Here is a 17,799-nt window from a genome sequence, read left to right as displayed (position 1 = left end):
AATGTTCAAAACCATGACGTATTACACATCAAAGGGAAAGATTTTAAATCTAGCCTAGTTTATTAAATTCTACAGATGACATAGCTTATGTTTAATATGTGTGCATATGTTTATGTAGCTCCCCTCATACTGGTATTTGTTCTCTGCACACTTTGACCTGGCGGCTTCCAGCAACTACTTGAATCATGCTTGATGCTCTGTAAACATGAAAAAATGCTAAGAGAGAGAAACAGAGAAGACAACAGAGATACAGCGCTTCACATTCTGCCTCTCACTCAATAAATATTGGTTAATTGATTGGAGTTGGAACTAAACAGAACATAGGATTCCTAATTTGTTCAAATCTAGCCAAGTGCTAGACGATCAGCTGATTCCAATGGTCTAAGAAAGGAAACAAAGTCCATATAATGAAAGAATCGGCATTATTCATTCTTTCATCCATCCATCCATCCACCTAAATATGTGGGTACCTCTTAAGTATGAGGCATCCTGCTAAGGCTGAGAATACAATGGGTAAAAAACTGGCAAAAGATCCCATCCTCCCAGAACTTAGTCTAAGGACAAAGCCACTCAAGTGCCACAAAAATACACTGCAGAAAAAGAGTTCCAAGCAGAGGGAAGTGGATGGAGTTTGGAGAGTATACAGTGGGGAAGGTGGGAGGAAGCGCTGACGTGGAGGGTAATTAGGCTTAAATTCGAAGAAGGAAAGGAAGAGAAACAAGGAAAGGGAACAGAGTTCCAGGCAGAAAGAGCAGCTTCTGCAAAGAAAGGCCCCTGGAGGGAGGAGCTGGGCCCACAGGAAAAGCTGTACAGCAACCTGTGCTGAAGGCAGGATGTCAGGGAACAACAGGGTTTGAAGACCAACCCAAAACAAGCAGCCGCCAGACCTGCAGCCCTAGTCAGTTACCTGTCTTAACATTAAAAAAGAAGAAAAACAAAATCAAAAGGCTTCTGTGACCTAGGAGAAAGCAGACTGGATCCCAAATCAGATAACCTGGATCAAGTCGTAACTGCCAGTTCAACCACCCCTGGGTGCCCAACATCCTTGAGCCATCTCTGTCCCATCATTGTCAACTGATGATAAGAACACCTCACTCGGAGCAAGGCTGTGAAAAATGAACCAGATAAAAGTATGTGAAATTGATCTGCAAAGATAAAGTGTTCAGCAAATTAACAGCATTATAAGATTAGAGGTCTTTTTTTTTTAACTAAATGCTGGAACATAAACCATGACCTGCTTAAAACCTACTTTTTTTCCTTTTAAAATCATATTAAGAAACATGTGCCCAAAGATATAATAGTTTTACACGAATAGCCTAATACTTGAGCTTTGCTGAAGAAAACGGTATTCACAAAACTCAAAATTTTATTAAAATTTAGAAGTTAACTTGCATTATAACTTTAAAATGGCAGGCTACTCAAATACGTATTTCAATACACCAGAATCTTATATTTTAAGTAATTACCATGTAAAATTTCTTATAAAACATGTATCTGGCATAAATCCAGAACTGCATATCATCTTATCAATTACTTTATTATACAGAGAGCTTAAGTCCAAACCAGACAGACAGATTAAGAATCTTTATATAAAATTAGGCCGGGTACAGTAGCTCACACCTGTAACCCCAACACTTTGGGAGGCTGAAGCAAGGCAGATTGTTTGATTCCAGGAGTTCAAGACTAGCCTGGGCAACATGGTGAAACCCCGTCTCTACTAAAAATACCAAAACAAAAAGCAAACAACAAAAAAACTGGTTGGGCATGGCATGCCTAAAGTCCCAGTTACTTGGGAGGCTGAGGTGGGAGAATCACCTGAGCCCAGGAGGTAAAGGCTGCAGTGAGCCGAGATTGTGCCAGTGTACTCCAGCCTGGGCAACTGGAGTGAGATCCTGTCTCCAAAACAAAAAAAAAAATCTTTAAATAAAAATCGTAAATAAACAGGGGTACAATTTCACAGTCTAAAGGCAATATTCTGAAGCAAAGTAATAAAGCATAAAGAATAACACTTGTGGTTCTTTAAGGTTGATAAATGGTTGTATTATCTACTCTGCTACTGGTGTGTGCGGTTCTTGTTGCCAAAAAATAGCAAGAAAAAAAAAATCGAATGGCTCTCAAACTAGTGTTGGTATAAGTTTAGCTTATCTCTACAACTTCCCATTACCCTTATCTCTTCCTAAGAGGAAGATATTAAAGCAATCAAACTTAGTTGTGGACTTAAAAGAAAAAAAAAAAAAACCTGTAATTTTCTGAAAATGTATCTTAAAATGTATTAACTTCTGAGCCATTTATACTTACAATATGCTGTAGGTATCTTCAAAATTATTTTTAAAATCAAAATAAAACAATATTAAAATCCAATAAGAATGCATTTTCACATAGAGCCTGCATAATTAGAATATATATTTTATAGATCAGCATCAAAATTGAATACTTGTAATTAATCTTTTCTAAAATTAATATCAACAGAAATACTGGTTTGTGGGGGTTGAGTCTTTTAAAAAGTTATACCTCACAGACACATTTCTATTTTAAATATTTATCAGATAAAACTTATTTTATGCCTTTCGGTAATTTCTCCCTCAATGTAAAAAAGGCACTTTCTAAAATAAATGTCAGATTTCTGTGTTATTTTTAAAATTTGAAACTTTTATTACATACAACCCCACATCTAAAATGGCTTTCTTTTCATCAGTCTGGTTATAAAACAGCTATTCAGGAATTCCTGAAATACCTACAATTCTTTTTCATTCAATACCAGAAAACTCTTAGTAGCTTAATGAATTGGAGAAACATTACTTTCTAAGAAGATACTTCAAGATAATTCAGAGGAATTTCATCATTCAGAGTCTCCTAACCTGGGGGAGGGGAAGTAGATACCATTTTATATGAAACATTAACTAAATACACTCAACAATTTTAAAGTATTCCTTCTAAGAACAACATAACCAAGAAACAAAATGGAGCTTCAAAATAGTACAAAATGACCTTAATTACATGCTATAAATCAGTGACAAAAATCTAAAAACTTCTTTGTCCCCTTCCATCCTAAATTTAGAGGAAGACAGCTTGTAAGTTAAAAAAATTTAAGTAAAATTTAGGACTTGACAATGATACTGAATCAGAGTAAATCCTTACTTGCGGCACTTATCAAATGTATTGAACTGATCAATTTTTTAGAATGGCAAAGTGTAAACTGATTTTATGTTAAAAGACTGCAGCATGATATATTTCCTTTCCTTTAGAGGTTGAACAGAATTCAGCCAAACGCACAGTAACAACACAGCACGATTTACTTCTCTCTCAATTTTGAAACCCACATTTGCTGAGATCAATAACATGGGATATAATTCAAGAACTTTAATAAATCAAAACAAAGGAGGGAGAGAAGTTCCTCAGGGCCTCTGGATAGAATATAGTCCCAAGATGGAGCTCAGAGTAAAAACAAGTTATGGTTTTATATTAGATACTAAAATCTGTATTTCATTCCTCATTTCACCTGGAGGCTGAGATATTAACTCAAACAAGATTTGAGTAAAGCAGGAGTTTTGTCCAAGCCTCGTGAGAAAAGAGCAACATCAAATCAGAGGCAAGCCAAACACACACCAATGTGTGGCTGGTTCTGTTGCAGAACTAAGTGATGTGTTACTTGCTCAAATTGGGGGACATTCAAGATGTCTAGGGACGCAGCATGAACACTCACCTCCCCTACCAATCAAGCCCCTGACTCATGGGGATACATACCCTGCCCCCAGCAGTAAACAGGCTCATCCTGTTTAAGAAAAAGGAAGAAGGAAGAGGAGATTGGGAGAAAGATGGAGATTATCTGAGAAAATCTATTCCAAGAAAAGGGTAATGGGAACAAGAAGACTTGGTACCCAAGTTCATTGGGATCACAGGGGGAAGCAAAGAAAGGCCCAAAATATGGAGGCCTGCCAAACTTACTGAGTAAGATCTCTTTCTTGGCATATCCTACCTGCCTACTCTCATAAATGATTAAATTCAATCACCTGTAAAGCTCATCAGCTCCAAAATTAACCACCCTGAAACTAGCTTGCATTTGGTGATGAGAGGCATGACAGGTGAGGAGGTGGGCCTTGGAGCTGGATGAGTTATTCCAGGTTCCACTGGACTGGAGACCTTGGACAAGTTACTGAACTGCTCTGTCTCCGGTTTCTTCGCCTGTAAACTAGGGCTAATAATAGTATACCTGTCTCATGAGATTGCTGGGAGGATTCAATGACTTAAAATACACAGAATGCTTGGAATAGGTACTTGGCACATAGTAAACAGGCAGTATATCAGTGTTAGTTATTAGTAATTATTTACTGAGAAAGTAGCCTGTTTTGTACTGTCCTACTGAAAAGAGGTGAGTTTCGATTAGGAAAATTGTAACTACAGGCAGGTTTTCTCTCAATCCCACTTAGTGAGTGAGAAGTGAACTTCTTGGAGCTTTTAGGAGGAATGTGATGCAACCCACAGCAAGGCTGTGACAGGTGTCTCTGCACTTGCACCACCTGCCTAGACTAGGTGTGGGTCAAAGAAATCCTCCCCACGGTAATGATGCTTGAACCAGGCAGAACTCCCCAGGGAGAGCCATCTACTATTCCAGCAGCCCTGCTGGCCAGTGGGGACTTGCATGAACATGCTATCACTGGCTGGGCAGGAGGCAAGTTCCAAGCCCTCGCCAATAGTAACTTGTGAGCTGTGGATACCTGGAGACCTTGCCAGTCAGATGATCACAAAGACTACAGGAAGGAACCCACAGCTGATACTATTAGACCTAGAAAAAAATCAGGACACCCATCAGCAGGAAGCACTTTGACTCCTGTCACCCCATGCGTGAGACCTCCACAGGAGGCTTCTAGAGGCTCCTGAGGCTGATGAAAAATAATCACAAAAGGGCACTGGTCTGTCTTGATTTGTGAGTTAATCTACAATGAATCACTGTAATATACTTTAAATAGAACATTTCTGATTTGCTAATGAAATCTGCCTATACAGCAGAGGTCAGGGGTCTTGTTTGGGCTGCCTAAGTTATTTCCCCAGGGCCCTGAGGTCTGTGTGTTGAGCGGGAACCAGCTCAAGTCAATGGACATGCTGGAGAGAGCAAAACTCCCTATGTCACAAGCACCTTTGACACAAGTGTGAGTTAACAATAATAATACCATCAGTCATTAAACTTGCCAGTGGAATTTGTCTACCTCTGAAAGTGACTGTCAACATTCTCCACCAAGTGCTTGGATTAAACGGGTTGAGTGTCCCTTATCCAAAATGCTTTGGACAAGAAGTGTGTTGGATTTCATATTTTTTCACATTTTCCAATATTTGCATTATCCTCACCAGCTGAGAATCTCAAATCTGAAAATCCAAGACCCAAAATGCTCCCGTGAGCATTTCTTTGTGTGTCACGTCAGTGCTCAAAAAGTTTTGAATTCTGGAGCATTTCAGATTTTTGGATTTTTGGAACCCCAACCTGTAACTGTATTTTAATCAAAATCCTAGTGAGAGGCTAGGAAAACCACCCTGTTTTCATTTTGATTTTCATTTTTGCATTTTACATTATACTTATTCATTTGTAAATATGAGATCTTTGAAAAAATTTTGAGCTCCCATTTTCAGATGAGCTAAGAGACCCATCTATGCTGTCTATATCTGGAAGTACTATACACCACCAAGGAGACCCCAAAATTCCAAGTTTAAAATTCCAAACCTAGCAGATACAACAATCTTAAAGATGAGCTGGATTTCAGGTTCAACGTTCAAAATGGATGAATTAGAAAGTAGATTCTAACTCTACTCTTAGCCAAAAAAGAAGTGTATATGCCACACATTATAACAGTTTCTAGGCTCTGAGTCAAAATTAGGAAATAATTTTTGTTTAAAACATGTTTATTCAACTAAAAAATCAAATTTAATAGTAAATACTTATTGAGTCCCTAAACAAAGGCATTTGGAAATATGCAAACATATATGCATTATTACTCCTACTCTCGAAGAGAAACTGATATGAAGACTTACAGAACCACATTTTCCTTGATGCAAGGTACCATGAAAACATAGCCTGATGAACTTACTCTAAATGAAGACAAACACAAGGCAAATTAATAATCACCCCCTTAAACTACTGGCTCCAGTTAGCCTATTAGGGGCCAAATTGGTTCTACCTACCAGCTGTATCAGAGACTGCTCATTTCCAAAAGAGCTGCCCAGTTTGCAGCAGTCACTGGACAGTTCTCAAAGATAAAGACTGTGGTCCCATTTCAGGGCTATCTACATGATAAGGCTTTTGTTATTCGCCCTCCACCTATTCTATACTTCACATCAGAGCCTCCAAGCCACCAGGCTGCTCAGGGAGGTTGTCATTCAACAACAGGAAACAAGAAAAGAAAAAAAGATTTTATTAGTTTATTTTATCTAAGCCAAGGCCTCTGGTTGGAGAAAAAAATGCAAAGGAGAAAGTTTAGAAATATTCAAAATTGTTTTTAAATAACATGCTTTCCTTAAGTTTTCCTGAGAAACTGGTGTCTCATTTTAGTACAAGAGTACTCAGTTTTTAGATTCCTATACTCAGATTACCTAAGAAATGTTTCTGACAGATATAATTTCCTATACAAGAGACAAAAGGTACAGAGGCACCTTCGAGTTCAATTTACTGGGGCACAGTGGTAAGAGGGAAGTTTCCACAACACAACATTATGCTGCAAAATCGCACTGAATATGGCATCTACTCCACGTGTACCCTGTTTTCTAGAATGCTCTAGGAAGTTCTGTCCCCCACGGAATTGGGGTCAAAGCTTTTTCACTGCCATAGGCCTACTTACCAGCAACACTGACCTCAAGTCAGTGAAGCGTACGACCCTCAATGCTGCAAATTCCTTGTTTCATGTTCATTGCAAAGCAGACGCTCAATGTTAAAACTGGGAGTTTAAACAGAAGACTTGGACCAGGAAGTTCATTGGCCCGTTTCTGGTGACAGCTACTTCTAGGAGCTCCTCACCTTTCCCTAAGATTCATGCCACTTCAAGAAGAGAAAAAGGAGATACTGAAGTGTTGGAGTAAAGTACAGGTTTAAAACAAGTGAAAAGGTGGCACTTTGCTCACTCCTGTCTGCAGATTAGAGAAGAATCCCTCTGTCAAGATGAATCATATCATCTATCTGCAGCAAAAAGCATCTGTGACTCTTAGAATGAACTTTCTCTTTGACCCTTCATGTCTGGGGAAACATTTTGAAATGTATGCATTATTCTTACCAGTTGAGAATCCCAAATCTGAAAATCTGAGATCCAAAATGCTCCCGTGAGCATTTCCTTTGTGCATTATGTCAGTGCTCAAGAAGTTTTGAATTTTGGAGCATTTCAGATTTTTGGGTTTGGGATGCCCAACCTGTAACTGTACCCTAATCAAAATTGTACAGAGAGGCTGGGAAAACCATCCTGTTTTTCATTTTGATTTTAATTTCTGCATTTTACAAAAATCAGCTACTTCAGTTGAGACCACTGAAATTGCTCCACCTAGCAAATAGTAGATATTTCAACTATGTTTATTATTTATCATTATTATTATTGTTGGAAGTAAGAAACATCTACAAAAGCTGCCATCAAGGGGTTAAGAAAATCAATCAAGGACTTGGCGTGGTGGCTCACGCCTGTAATCCCAGCACTTTGGAAAGCTGAGGCAGGCAGGATGGCCTGAGCCCAGGAGTTTGAGACCAGCCTGGGCAACATAGCAAAACCATCTCTACAAAAAATTAAACAAAATTAGCCAGGTGTGGTGGTGTGCGCCTGTAGTTCCAGCTACTTGGGAGGCTCAGGTGGGAGGATCACTTGAGCAGCAGGAGGTCGAGGCTGCAGTGAACTGTGATCATGCCACTGCATGCCAGCCTGGGCAACAGAGCAAGACCCTGTCTCAAAAGCAAATACATACATACATAAAAATTTAAAAAAAAAAAAATCAAACAAGGATCCATACCAAGTCAACTCAGATATTAACAAAAAGAATCCTTTAAACCTAGACGCTCATGCTTTTGCATACAAGCTACCCTAGTATCCTATATCAGCAGGCAAAAACATATACTCCCCAGGTATACCCAGACACCTTTTATTCCCATCTGTAATTCTTAGGAAGCGTGCACACTAGCATCAAGACTGAATACCGTGATGAGGTGAATGAATAAAGACCCTGTTAGCCAGACACATGGAGCCGCCTAACAGTTCCTAGTGGCTTCTTCCATAAATAGCCCAGTGGACAGCGTTGGTGCGAAGGTGGTCCCCAAGTTTATGGGTGAGCTTGAGTCATAATTAGGACTTCTGGATCCATATTTACTGACTGTGGCTCACACTGTAAGTGGAGCTGTAGAACTCTTTTATAGTGTAAGCTAATGAACCAGAGTTTTACATTTATTATCAAGTCATGACATGCAAGTAGACCTTTCAACAGTAGGTAAACATCATGACCAAAACGTTGTCAACTCAAATCTTTAAGATAAAATAACAATAAATTAAAAATAGCCTGCATCTTTTTCCCTCAGCTGAGATATGAAACCATTCAATCCAACACAAAAAGGTTTTGCAAATCAATAGGCCATTTAGAAATGGCTCATTTTCATTCTAGCATGATGGCTTTTAAAAAATTGTCACACCCAATACAGCAGCCTACAGGCTGAGTGGAAAATGCCAGTTCAGAAAAGCTTTGCTCATTGTAAGAGTTACCATCAGCAGACAGAATTCACAGCAGGATGCTCTGCTGGGTCCATTAATCAATACATGGAAATTCAGACAAAAGGCTTGTTTAGCCCCTCTTCCCAAAAGCATTTTTAATTCCACAAAGGAATCAGAAGCCAGAGACTGAAGCATGGTTAGAGTGCTAACCGTTCTGACGGATCTTTAATGAAACACTTGAGAAATCCATTCACACATGGTCCTGTTTCATACACCCGCTTTCTCCCCAGCTCCAAACTTGATAGCAATAACTAGTAATTCACCTCCTTACTGTTAACATAGCCCTCTCTGTGTACTTCAGCTGAAACCACTGAAACTGCTCCACAAGGAACAGAAAAATTCATTACACATTCTACGAAGAGCTTCTCAATCCCCTATTCCCCTGGCTTATTATTAATAATGGCACACCCACCCAAGCAAAAATAAAGGGAGGGTCATCTGTTGGAAAATCTAGGGCTCTTCTATCATTCTATCTTATGGTCTGGGGCCTTCTTTGTTCTTCAAGCTATTGTTTCTTTTTCACTAATAGGAATTTGTTCTGGGTTTTTAAAAAAGAGAGGAGAGAGAAAGCCAGCCACCCAATGAGCCAAGTACTAAATCATCTTATCCTAAATCCAAGTAAGGGCATGTCTGAGAATATGGTCAAGACTCTAGGACCTCTCTCCAGAAAACATGCATCCACATGAAATTCCAAAGTTTCAAGTGAGTTGCCCTCAAGTACATCCAGGGTTCATAGATTCCAAGTCACATCCTCCAACTAGACCAGTCTCTGATTTAAGGCTACTTTGGATACCTGTGAGGGACCACCATCAGGTCTTTAGAGGGGTGGATTAAGGAGGCTACCTTTCTAAAATATGTCAGCAGATTACAAATGGAAAATTTCTTTGCAATTCCTTAACAGTTTACAGAGGAGTGAACTCCTTTGTCAGCGGTCTATACCTTCTTCTGAGAATAAATTCTACCCTGTAGAGCCTGACTGCTGTTGCCTCGCTGCACGCATCACCTCAGGGGATTATGCAGCATCCCTGCACCTGATTTCCCAGCTAGAGTTCTAGTGTCCCCATCTTAACTCCGAAACCTCATCTAACACAGTAAGGACTGCCAAAATGCAGTCCCTGCTGCCTTGTCAGCAGACCCTCTTTTATTCCATAAAGCAGGGATTCCATCACACCAAGTTCAGCTGGATGTCTGTTAGAAATGCCGACGCCCAGGCCACCACCCTAAGCCCACAGAATGCCCAAACAAGCAATTTCAGGGTCGGGGTGGAAGGCAGGAATGTGGCTATTTAACAAGCCCATGGTACACTTCTAATGTACCCACAGTTTGAGAACATTGCTCTAAAATAATCTTCCACTGAAAGCTGGTTAGCATCCTCCTTGCCCTCCTTCTCTCCTAATATTACGTGCTCATTCTCACCTTAGACTTTGCTCCATTTCTTACCTCCACAAGGAAATCATCTCCTCTCCATCCACTTAAACCTTACTCATTTTGAAAGGCAAATCTCAAGTCCTCATTCCCCAATACTGACCTGTCATGGTGTTTCTCGAGGTGAATTTTTCCCTGTCTCCCTGACATCAGAATTACCTTGTTGGGGGAAGGGGAAGTGAAAAGATTATTTAAAACGCCAGATCCTAGGCCAGTCCCATATCTACAGGATTAGAAGAAAATGGAGTGAAATGTAAACATTTTTAAAAACCGAAGGTTACATAAAACAAAGAGAACCTGAAAACTATCAAAAGTCTTATCCACTGAATTTCGACTTTCTAAAAACCCTCTAAAATATTTCTGAAACCTAGGCTAGGCAGAGAAGAGTTAAAAATCTTAAAACCTGTTCTCTCAGCTAATGCAATGACAATAAGAGCCACAGGAGGAAAGCTAGTCAGGTGGGACAGCTGTGCTGCAGCTTAGCCTAAAAGGATAATACAGAGAGCAAAAGGGGCCAACTCACTGAGCTTCTAAAAACGACCTCAACTCTGCACTTCTTCACAGTAGCATTCTAAAAAGCATCTATGCAATTTAACTAAATGGTAGGCCCATAAAAAACTGTACACACTTAAAACAGTACATGATAACCTATTGCATAAAAATATACAATTACATTTTTAATTATGCACAAACCAGGTGATAATTATACCAATATAAGGTTCTCTGTAATCTCCATATGCTGTAAAAATCTACAATCACCTCATATCTTATGAGTGGGTGTAACCATGTCTAAACCCATTCATTTATTTAAAACAAAATGAACTGCAGAGTTTCCAAGGGATGTGGCACTGTGCAAAGTGCTGTGGGGACACCAAGATGAATGAGAAATGGCCAGTGCCCTTGAGAAGCTCACCACAATCTTGTAGGGAGGAATATAATAAAGACAAATGGCTGTGGTGTAAAGCAGGGTATGATAAGGGCCAGAAGAGAAATTCAAGGCACTACAGGAACTCAAGAGAGAAAAGAGCGATCGCTAGAACGAACAGAGAAAACATCATTGAGGCGGCAGCATTTCAGGTAGTTCTTGAAGGATGAGCATAAGTCTTTTAAGTGGAGGTTAGAATAGAAAAGACAGTCAGCAAGCAGGAAGGACAAGAGGTAAAGAATACAGACAGAAAAGCTCCTATGGTACAAATGTACTGAGACGGCAACTGAGGCAGAGTTGTCAAAAGGATGTTTGAACTGAGACCACCATCAAGGTATACCGGTAGGATGGTGATAATTTTGCATCAGTAAGTACACTTTGCAGATAGGTAAGTACACATCCAATTAGCCCAAAGGCACCGAGGTTATTTTTTTTTCCTAACAAGGAATACTGTAGGACAACATCAAATTAAACCAAAACAGAAAAGCAATTGTAAAAGAAAAATTCTTTCTGAAATATACTTACTGGGCAAGACATCTACAAGTCAATATCATGGGTAGGGTGATGGACATAGAGTCAGAAGACCTGGGTTTTAGTCTAAGTTCATTCTGACAGCTCTAGCATCTCGAGTAAGTCACTAACATACAGAATACAATCGATAATTTCTGCATCCTGTAAAATTGTTTGCTGATCCAATGACATAAATAGTCATTTCTAAAACTGTAATGCTCTTTCAAAATGTAAAGCAATACCGCCAGATAACTTTGAAAAATTATAAATTTATTTGTAAGTACACAAGGAACACGCACTTATAATACACACTCATATACACATACTGTTATGATTTTTAAAAACTCAAATATGATGGCTTCCCCAGAGCAAGGTGAGCATTTGGCTCAGGCTGAAGCACACACCAGGGACGCCAAAGAGAAATGGAAAGACACAGGATGCGGCTAAGACTGCCGGGCTGCTTGATGGAGCAACCCTAGAGCACCCTATGTTTAGACTTTCCATTGATTTAAAGTGATATTGATACAACTCCTTCACCGAAAACCAGCTCAAACTGATTTAAACAAAAACTTTGAATATAAAAATTCCAAAATAACACCTGATTATAAAACACTTATTTTGTTCAGATTACATGATGTTCCCTTAACAAATATGAAGGAATTAATATGGTCCTACCTAATTTCCTTCATTACCAATGTGGCTTTTCCTCATACCTAAGGTTAATCAATATTGAATATCCATTACACCATTATCTAAGTTAAATACATATGCAAATAAAAACAGGATTTTAAACAGACTAAGTTCATTTTCATAGTTAAAGAAACAAATGTGAGATATATACACATATTTGTACATTAAAGTCTTTTGTCTTTAGCCATAAAATACCTGAAGCTCTGAGTATACACATTAACCTGTTAACCTGCACTAAAAGATCCTATACTATGACTGATAAAATAAAATCTCCCTTTGATCAAGACTTTCAAATCCTAACTTATTAGACTAGCTTATCATTTAAAAGCCAAATAATTTTTTCCATCCAAAAAACATCTAAATGTTTGACTACACAGCTATTTCTCACATTCCTTATCTTCTGAATCTCCAGCAGCCTGCCTAAGTTCCCCTCCCTCTTTCTCCCCACCTTCCCCTGTATAACTATCCTCTCTATATGTTCCCCCTTGTAACAAGGATAGCAATAATATTTATCATCCAAACCAGGGCACTCTTAAAGGGGGAGCTATTAATAATTAATCCAGGCAAATAGGTATTAAAACTGGGACATATGGTCGCCCTACTTAGAACTATCATGCTGGACAGAAGGCAAACTCTATTCACTAAGAGATGGAAAATCTCATATTTAATAAGCTGAACTAGAACATAAATATTCTGACTTACCCCCGCCCTGAATTCCCACCTGGGAACCATGAACCCAGAGGAGAAGACGCTTGTCTTCTCGGGGGGAAGCTGCCCCACTGCCCCAACTGTCCCTTTCATTCTCCGGGATGCTAAGTTCAGGTCAGTGTGTACTGGGGCAACACCTGACAGAGAATTCTTTGAGACCACTGGAAAAAGCTTGAGGGCTTGTTCCTTCTCTGCTGTAAACAGAAGACTATCTAGCCTTCACTGCTAAAGAGGCATTAATAACCTTCAATTAAATAGGCATTAGCCATGTCAGCTTCCAACTTCAGAGCCTCATCCTCATCCAAAACATTCATTATGGTTTACTGTGCTGGGTGCTGTGAAGGTCAAAGTGCATAGCCCACATCTTCTCTGAATTTATAGTCCAAGATGAAAAATGATGTGGGCTATAAAATGGGAGATACATGCACATCAAATAAAGGCCTTACAAGTGCAGACCAAGGAGGAGGAGCAGAGCTGGATTTAGGAAAAGAGCAGAAGACAAACCAGTTAAAGCAGCAGCCGGTTAAAATGATCCACGGCATTGGCTTTGGGATGCAGCAGTGGGGCAGCACTACATATTGGGAGGGGAAGCTGGGGAGAAGTGAAAATTACAAAGAGAGCCATTTCTGGTGCTTTTTCATGGCTAGGTTCAAGTTCACCTGCACTGAGGACCAGAGCATCCTAATCCATGACAATGACCTTGTGTTCCCTATTCCAGCAGCATCACATGCTCACCTCTAACTCACCTGTCAGCTCCCTCAAGGCTGAGGGCCTTTGTTTCAGTCATTGGAGCTCAACTGGAACCAAAGAACAGGTGCTCAATAAACATTTTTAAAAACTGTGGTAAAATACACACAAAATAAAATTTGCCCTCTTAACCATTTTTAAGCCTATAGTTCAATTGCATTAAATATACTCATTGTTCTGCAATCATCACCACATTCATCTCCAGAACTCTTTTCATCTCAAAAAACTAAAAATCTGTGTCCATTAAACACTAACTCCCTATTGCCCCCTCCCTCAGCCCCTGGCAGCCGCCATTGTACTTTCTGCCTCTATGAATTTGACTACTCTAGGTACCTCATATAAATGGAATCATGAAATATTTGTCTTTCTGTTTCTGGCTGGCTTCTTTCACTTAGTATAACGTCCTCAAAGTTCATCCGTGTTGTAGCATTATTTCCTTCTTTTTTTTTTTTTTTTTTTTGAGATGGGCTTGCTCTGTCACCGGGCTGGAGTATTGTGGTGCGATCTCGGCTCACTGCAACCTCCGCCTCCCGGGTTCAAGGGATTCTCCTGCCTCAGCCTCCTGAGTAGCTGGGAACACAGGTGCACACCGCCATGTCCAGCTAATTTTTGTATTTTTAGGAGAGACGGGGTACAGCCTCCTGAGTAGCTGGGACTACAGACGCACACCACCACACCCAGCTAATTTTCATATTTAGGTAGAGATGGGGTTTCACCATGTTGGCCAGGATGGTCTCAATCTCTTGACCTCGTGATCTGCCTGCCTCAGCCTCCCAAAGTGCTGGGATTATAGGTGTGAGCCACCGTGCCCAGTCTACAATTTCCTTCTTTAAGGCTGAATAATATTCCACTGTATGTATACACATATCCATAAAAAATATTTTTGTTTATCTATAATACCTTTTAATCAATTAAATAACTATACTTCAGAGACTGAAAGACAGTCTCCTTAAATTTGACAGAATTTCAAATCTCTTAGACTGGAATATTTGAAATTTCTTAGATAAACAGAGATGAACTAAAGTCAGGTAAGAAAATGCTTCTCCAAGGCTCTCTTCTATTTCCTACCACTCAAAAAGAATGCACGACTCAATAACCTACTTGGCCCTATGTGAACTGAAATTTTTCTGGTAAACTTCCTTGCTCTTATCAGCTTATATTTTAATACTTCACTTTCAACGCTGTGGTAAAACCTACTTCATGAAGGCCAAGAGGATAGCCTCTTCAACCGGAAAAAGAAAACCACTACAGAATGAGAAAAACATTGCTAAATCTCTTTTCAAATCCTGACTTCCATAACCACAGAAGTTTGAAAAAGGAGTGTTGGGGGAAAGGAGTGTTGGGGAGGGAGGCCTCTGGCCAGCCACTGTCTTTCTAAGACTGGCTTCCTAAAGATGGGCGGGTGAGCAGAGGCAGGCCCAACTGAAGTTACCATACAGATTTTTTTTTTTTTTGGAGGCGGGGTCTCACTGTCACCCAGGTTGGAGTGCAGTAGCTCGGATCTTGGCTCACTGCAACCTCCACCTCCCAGGCTCAAGCGATCCTCCCATCTCAGCCTTCTGAATAGTTGGGACCACAGGCAAACACTGCCACACCCGACTAATTTTTATATATATATATATACACATATATATAGTAGAGACAGGGTTTTGCTATGTTGCCCAAGCTGGTCTTGAACACCCAAGCTCAAGCAATCCACCCACCTCGGCCTCCCAAAGTACTGGGATTACACGCCTGGCCTCCTGTGCAATTCTGATAGTTGTCAAGGCTGTAGCTGGCGGGGCGGGGGGGCTTTTTTTTTTCTTTCTTCTCCCCTCCTTGAGATTCTGAACAGACATCAGAAAGGCATAATCATAGATGATTTTCATATTCATGTAATGAACACTACATTTTTCTTCCTATTTCTTGAAACTTACTGGAGGCTTGACTGGTTTTAAAAGGATTTCTTCCGTCAATATGTCCCCATTTTCCCAACCAAGTTAACTGGTCAGAACTAGCCTGGGTGACAGTGAGACCCTGCCTCCAAGCAGGTTCCCTTCTGTGGTTATGGAAGTCAGGATAAGTTAATTTATATCATATGGTGTCCTAAGGGTAGGTAAGGGTTAAATTATACCTTGCTCCAGAAATGACACCTTATAAAATTGGAAAACCTGGGTAGGGGAATGACCAAAGACTATAAATATCAGAAATGCCATCTAACACGAGAAAACAGAATGAATGAAAAAAACGGAGTAGACTGCCTTGTTAAGTGAAAACCTAATTAAATTCACGTCATATTGCTTTTCAACTATGAATAAGAGGTTATAAAATCAGACTGGGCAACTTAAACGATGCAGGCATCATTTCCTACATTTCCTTTTGATCCCTATGGCATAGTGCTAGGCAAGCAAATATGTACTATACTTAACACGCTCATTTAGAGATTGATGTTTACTTGACTATTAGCAATAATGCAAGATGATTGTTTCTCTTCCTTTAATATAATTTAATAATTTTTGAAAATATAAATTCAACCAGAAAATGAGTCAACATATTATAAAATCCATAAATACTTCAGTACTTTATACGTGCACAACCCTACAAAGCACAAAATCTAGTCGAGAAGATCAGTAAGAAAATGTAAGTACCCAAAAATGTTTGAAGAAAATAATTTTATATCATCTCATTCACATGTAGATGGGTTTCATCTTTGAAAACATGGGAGATAAAAGATCTCCCTTTCAGGTCATGTCTGTAGAATCTGACAATTCATGAAGGCACAGACATGGACACATAAAATTCTATGCTCAGTACTCGTTATTACAAGATAATGTCAGGCCCTGGTTTGTCCCCTTATTTAAAAGAAAAACGAGAAAATTATTACAGCATAAATGCGGCCTTTTAGACAAAATTTATATGTTGCTTACTTTCTTCAGACACACAAATCATTTCCCAACACATACAGATTAAAGGAATACACCCTAATGATATTCAGTCATGAATCTAACTCAATCAAAGACAGCTCAACCTGTTACTGCCTTTCCTAAGACTTTCATAGGGATGACCAAAACCAGACGGCTAGCAGACTCACCAAGGACTACGTCCAGAAGGCAACGCCTTGATTAGTGGACAGGTAAGGCTGACTCAATACGGGACAGCCCAGACCCAGCCAGCTGTTTGGTCTAACTGTGCACAGGGCTAATGATTTTCTTTAGCAATTGCTCTTCACATTCTGAAGATTTGATTGAATTCTTAATACTGCATTCACAGCTCAGCAAAGAATATCCTTCTGAAATATCAGAGCATGGGTTACTGAAGAAGTTGCCATGGAAACTGTCCCTCCTTCAACTTTTAGCAATTAACAAACTTCCCAGCATTTCTACACTTTTCATATGCAATAGAATTGGAAGCAGATAACTCTGTTTTTTAACACAATTTAAAAGACCTTGAAACACTGGAAAAAAAAATACCTCTATATGCTTTAGAAAGACTTAACATTGGACTTTAAAAGCTTCAGTCAACTCAACCTCAGCAGAAAAAAATTCCCTGAAAGTAACATTTACAGTATAACTTTTTTTTATCTTTAGTACTTTTGTTTGAAATAGTTAATATGTGTATTTAAGAGGTACATTCATATTTTTGACACATTTTCATATTGACTTTGTTATTTGTATAGTATAAAACCAGCTTTCAGGAATGGAAGCCCAATATATAACACAAGCTTTGGCTGGGCGCAGTGGCTCACGTCTGTAATCCCAGAACTTTGGGAGGCTAAGGAGGGTGGATCACAAGGTCAGGAGTTCAAGACCAGCCTGACCAACATGGTGAAACCCCGTCTCTACTAAAAATAAAAAATTAGCCGGGCGTGGTGGTGTGCGCCTGTAATCCCAGCTACTCAGGAGGCTGAGGCAGGAGAATAGCTTGAACCTGGGATGTGGAGGTTGCAGTGAGCCGAGATTGCACTACTGCACTCCAGCCTGGCGACAGAGCGAGACTCCGTCTCAAAAACAAACAAACAAACAAACAAACAAAAAACAAAACATAAGCTTTACAGATAACACAGCCTGCAGGAAGTAAGAGTTTGTGTTATGACCA

General features: G+C 39.6%; 1 protein-coding gene and 1 long non-coding RNA gene across 4 annotated transcripts in view, besides 1 other annotated feature; both read right to left on the bottom strand.

The window, feature by feature from the left end:
- The window catches only part of SDC2 (syndecan 2), a 117,978-nt gene that overhangs the window by 56,102 nt on the left and 44,077 nt on the right, over positions 1-17,799 (bottom strand). The gene's annotated exons all lie outside the window — the stretch shown is intronic.
- Positions 196-17,502, bottom strand: LOC124900253 (uncharacterized). The gene is made up of 2 exons (XR_007061018.1): positions 15,429-17,502; positions 196-13,775 (listed from the first exon to the last, which is right to left on the bottom strand). It is a non-coding gene; the product is annotated as an uncharacterized LOC124900253 (long non-coding RNA).
- Positions 4,160-4,660: an enhancer, noted in NCBI's record as "H3K27ac hESC enhancer chr8:97563257-97563757 (GRCh37/hg19 assembly coordinates)". NCBI's record gives its function as "activates a minimal SCP1, AML or CMV promoter by ChIP-STARR-seq in primed H9 embryonic stem cells {active_cell/tissue: H9 hESC(primed)}" and the evidence as "EXISTENCE:reporter gene assay evidence [ECO:0000049][PMID:30033119]".

Source organism: Homo sapiens, chromosome 8, assembly GCF_000001405.40.
Source record: "Homo sapiens chromosome 8, GRCh38.p14 Primary Assembly".
Lineage (NCBI taxonomy): Eukaryota > Metazoa > Chordata > Mammalia > Primates > Hominidae > Homo > Homo sapiens.
This window is presented reverse-complemented; position numbering and strand designations above follow the sequence as displayed.